Source organism: Homo sapiens, chromosome X (assembly GCF_000001405.40).
Source record: "Homo sapiens chromosome X, GRCh38.p14 Primary Assembly".
In the NCBI taxonomy this organism is placed as follows: Eukaryota; Metazoa; Chordata; class Mammalia; order Primates; family Hominidae; genus Homo; species Homo sapiens.
Window position 1 is genome coordinate 40,813,322 of NC_000023.11, and position 5,436 is coordinate 40,818,757.

The 5,436-nt window shown below is 38.7% G+C and overlaps 1 annotated feature.

Annotated features, from left to right (window-relative positions):
• Positions 3,497–3,998: an enhancer, noted in NCBI's record as "NANOG hESC enhancer chrX:40676071-40676572 (GRCh37/hg19 assembly coordinates)". NCBI's record gives its function as "activates a minimal SCP1, AML or CMV promoter by ChIP-STARR-seq in naive H9 embryonic stem cells {active_cell/tissue: H9 hESC(naive)}" and the evidence as "EXISTENCE:reporter gene assay evidence [ECO:0000049][PMID:30033119]".

Here is a 5,436-nt window from a genome sequence, read left to right on the forward strand (position 1 = left end):
GGTAGAGGTTGCAGTGAGCCAAGATTGTGCCACTGCACTCCAGCCTGGGCAACAAGAGTGAAACTCTGTCTCAGGAAAAACAAAACAAAAAAAAGATTTAATGGGAACTTCAGGGGTTGGATACCTATGCTGTCAGGAATGTTTGTTATAGAGATTTGCAGGAGAAAAACAACCTGGTCTGTTCTAGGATCTAAGTGTTTCCTTAAAGTCTTAGCACAAGTGACTCCACTTTGGTTTGGTTTGTTGGGGCCTAATGCATGAGCTCAGTACAAAACAATGGCCTCCCAGAATTTTGTTTCAAAAAAATTGCCCCTTTTTGGTCTGATTCTCACTTGGGTGAGAGTGTGACCAAAACTTAGGGCCTTAGCATCACTCTCAGTTACCATCGTTTTGGGTTTCTCAACTCAGCATGTCATTCATAGGTTACAGCGTCCTCCTGGTCACACATTTCTTTCAGCTCTTGTCATTCCAGTTGAAGAAAGACCAATTTGACATTCTAGACATCTCTAGAATGCATACAAACATTTAAAACCTTTGAGAAAATACAGCTAACAAGGTAGACTATTATTATGACTATCAGGAGGATAATAATAAGAGTTTGGAGTTTGATCCTTACCCAGGGTCCCCATAATCCAAACCATCTAAAATCAAATAGATCAAAGAACGAGCTAGATAAAGAGTCTACTCACTTAACTAAGCAATCTCTTCATTAATCCCCTACCACTGAATCTCTATCATTTTCATTTGATGTATTTCTCCATAGGCCACAAGTGCCAGCAGCTGCACAGATACTTCTTTATTCAGCCAATTCTATCATAACTTTCACAAAAGAATTTAAAGTCTGTTGTGTAACTATAGCCTTTACGGTAGATGTTCTCAGAAGATCCACTCTTTGGGTTTGAGATTGTGAAGGGGTTGATTGTCCTCCATGAACCATAAAAACCTTTGTTTACCTGGTGAAAATACAAAGTAGCATAATAATCTACTGTTATAACATCAGCCAGAGCGAGACTCCATCTCAAAAAAAAAAACAAAAAAAAAAAAGAAAAAAAAAAACAGAAAATGACAGTTGAATGAAATCCCTTTGTAAATGTTTAAGTGGCCCACCCATCAGATAGCCAAATGTACCTGAAGCTTTGATTGTCTTCCCAGGAATATGGATTTGACAAACCAAACATTGGTTATAAACTATTTTAGTCTGCGTATGGTGGCTCACACCTGTAGTCCCAGCACTTTGGGAGGCCAAGGTGAGTGGATCACTTGAGGTCAGGAGTTCGAGACCAGCATGGCCAACATGGTGAAATGCTGTCTCTACTAAAAATACAAAAATTAGCTGGGTATGGTGGCACATGCCTGTAATCTCAGCTACTCAGGAGGCTGAGGCAGGAGAATCACTTGAACCTGGGAGGTGGAGGTTGCATTAAGCTGGGATCATGCCATTGCACTCCAGCCTGGCAACACAGTGAGACTTCACCCCCCAACCAAAACAAAAAACTATTTTGGCAACTTATACGTCACCACACCAATATGTATTTAATTTGGAACCTTTAATAACAAAAGTTTCAGTGGCTGTCCTGGTTCTCCATGAATCTATGCTTAACATTGGACTTATGTTCACTTGAATCACTTGCTAAAATATAACCTGAAGAAGATTAAATATTATTTTTTATTTTGACAATGCTTCCCATGTAACTTAACATGTCAAATAATCCTGCTTACCTCTCTTTTGGATGCTTCAGGGGCCCTCTGTAGCATCTCAAAGTTAGAGGTCAGAAAATACAATCTTGAAGCTGAAATTTGATTTTGGGAAGCCTATTAAATATGTTAAATGTTTAAAATACTTCATATTATGACATATTGAGATGAATTAAGAATATTCACAAATAGTTTACAAATTTTGGAGAAATTAGGCAGAGAAAGAGAAATATGACACAACTTCTATTTACAAAAGTATACTTAATCCTTAAGTCCAGCATTATCACCATACATCCTGTGCAATCAAGAAATTCACTCTAGGCACATGACCAATAAGTACTACAGTGCCAGCACTATCCATGCAAAACAGTAAACATAGTGTGAAGCAATGCAAGCATGTATGTGAAATTTGGCTCCACACTTAGTGGAGCTGGCTTCATGCTTAACTATATTAAAAAAAGAATTGCCAAACTGATGATGCATTTCTTTACAATATTTCTTGTTTTACTTTAATCAAGACTAAGAGGTTTAACTATGAAAATGTTAATTAGCCAAATGTCTCCAATTCTCTATCAGGTTTTAAGGAATATTTTATTATCTAAACTTTTTCCATAATTTTAGAAACATATTTCCCCATATCGTAACCCTTTTTTTATTGGAAATTACCTAGATATTCAATGAGCATCAAAAATAGTTTCAAGATTATAACTTACACAAAAAGTTTACCTAAAACATTTATCTCATTTACCATACTCAATTCTTTCATTTTTAACAGTTTATCTAGATTACTTCTATAAACTGAAATATTAGACACTATCATTGTTTTTAATAGCCATTGAACATCAGGTGCTCACCTAATCCTAAGTAAGAGTCTCAAAGTTAAATACATAGGTATTTTTGCCAGTAACTCAGAAGATTTAGCTAACATTAAATTACTCTCATTTGTCAAAAAAAAAAAAAAAGGGCATGCAAACCAAGATAATTTCATTTTGACTGGGTTAGTAGCTTTATAACCTTCTATGCCCAACATTGACATCTCAAAACACCTAGCAAAGACAAACATAAAATCCAGACAAAAATGTATGCTGACAATTCTGTAGGTATTTCTATTTTTATTTTACCAATAATTTTAAAACCAGCTTGTTTAGTAAAGTTATACTTAAGTCACATGAACTTGAAAATTGCTTAGACTTATTTACTTAATTTATGAGTACTCTTACTTATAAGCCAATTTGGTAGATGCAATATATAACAATAAGTATACATACAACTAAACACATCTAGACATGTATACACACACACACAAATGAAGATCCAATAGCTTTTACCTTTGAACTCTAGCCATGAGATAGCAATACAGGCTTAACAGTTTTACTTTGTTTGCCCTAATAGATAATCCAATAAAGGCTCTGAACCAAAATTTTGGGTAAAGCAGTTTCCATGGCAGTTTCATTTGTAAAGGCCAAACCTCCCCAGACTGCAAAGAACACTGGGGACAAATAGTACCAAAGGAGAGCATCACACATAAACCAGGCCCTGCTTAGAACAGCAGCACAAAAGCCTGGATACATGCAACTCCATCCCACTTTCCATTCAACAGCAAATTCCAGATTCTAAACAATATGGGAGCCAAACAATATTGCAACTGTGAGAGAAAATTCTAAGGAGGGCTTAGTACTAGGCCTCAGAATCTCTGCCGAGGGCATCCTCTTTGGGGAGGTTGAGATCTGGAGGATCCCCTGGGGTGTCCCCCTTTGGGGTCCAATTTTCTAGTGTCAGAAATCTCTAACCTTAGGTGGGGTGGGCACTGGTGCCACTTTGCATGCATTCCCTCCAGAGGCAACGGCCTACTATGAGCTTTCCTTTGGTTCCTGGGTGTAATCCCGACTTTTAGCATCCTTATAATTTGATAAGGCCACACTTTCCCGTGTTTCCCATTCACTAGAGTGATAGCCATGAACTGTAATGACAGGAATTGGAGGCTGGGTAAGTTTCCTTTGTCCTTAGCCAACTGAGTAGCCGAAGGGAAGAATTTAGCGTAAGAAAAGAAGGTTTAAGTCACCTGAAATGCGTGTGAGGTCCCCCTGGGGGAGCGACTCCACAAGTAGGGATCAGGGACCAAAACTGGAAAAGTCAGAAAAGAGTCCTTCCCCTTTCTGGGCAGGGCAACTACCCTGTTTCACTCCTTGGCCTTCAGGCAACACTGGAGAGTGGCCCCAGCCAGAAACCTGCAGTTGCCTCCATGTTTAGGCGCTGCCCACCAAGGGTCCTGAGTTGGAAAGGAAGAGAGAGAGAGAGTTTCCCTTGTACAGAGCAGAAAGAAAGAGGAGAAAAATAAATCCCAAACTTTGGGCTTATCTCCTGGCTGGCTCACTAAAATATGTACCAGTGGAGGGTGTCCAGGTTCTTGGCGTTTTTAACAAAGAATTGGACAATACACACAAACAAAGCAAGGAAAGAATGAAGCAACAAAAGCAGAGATTTATTGAAAATGAAAGCACACTTCACAGGATGGGACTGGGTCTAAGCAAGCAGCTCAAGGGCCTAGTTACGGAATTCTCTGGGATTTAAATACCCTCTAGAGGTTTCCACTGGTTACTTGGTATACGCCCTATGTCAATGAAGAGGATGAAGTAAGTTACAAAGTCATTTACTCCGTGTATGCCCCCTATGTAAATAAAGAGGATATTTCCTGTCGTAGCTGACTTAGTCTTAGAGAGTTGGAGTTTTTCCATTTAATTTAGTTCTAGGAATTCCTTAGATTCCCTGCCCCCAGTCCCTATTCTCCTGCCTCACCTTGAAACTAGATGTTGAAAAAGAAAAGAAACTTTTTATCTGAGGAATATGAGCCCCTTTAAATTATCAAGTCCAGAGAGGCAGTGAAATATGACAGTAGTCACATCTCACTCTGTTTGAGATAAGTAATCACCTCTTGAAGTCACTTGCTATGTGGGTTCTAGACTGACGGATGCCAAGTAGCCATAAATTAACCTAACAATGCCATATTCTGGACACCATAACTCATACCTTGTAGTTCAACAATGTATAGCTAATTACTAATCAATGTTATTTCTGTAAACCAATGAGATTCCTATCAAACAACTTTATATCAACCCACTCTTTGTTTCCTTTTGCCTTTAAAATCCTACTTGTAACAAAATCGAAACAGAGTACTTCCCAGTGTTTCCTGGGCCGCAGTCCCCAACCTTGGCCCAAATAGACTCTCTACTTGTATTAATTTTGCTTGAGTTTATTTCTTTAGGTCAACAATGTGACCATAGGTCTGAGTTCTCATCAGTAGAATTTGAGCAGAAATAATGAGTACAAGTCTATTGCTTAAGAGACAGTTCCTGGCCCTGGATGATTCCTCCTTCTCCTGTTCCACTGGCTAGAATGAAAATGACTACAGTGACCTTGGAATTCTCATATTAAACATGGCAGATCTGTCAGAAGCCTGGATCACTGTCTGACTATGTGGAAACCTAGAAGCCTCAGGTTACAATGTGACATGAGAGAAACAGACTTCTCTGTTTTTTAAGCCTCTAAATTTGATAGAGCCTTTTTGTTACAGCAGCTAGGCCTGCCTTAACTACCACGACAGTTAGTACCATGAAAGTGGAGCACTACTATAACAAAAACCTAAATTTTATAGCACTTGCTTAATTCTCAGGCAGTGAGTGATGAAGAAATAGTGTGAGCCAGAAAGCTGGGAACCTCAAGATAACTGGTAAAACTGTTACC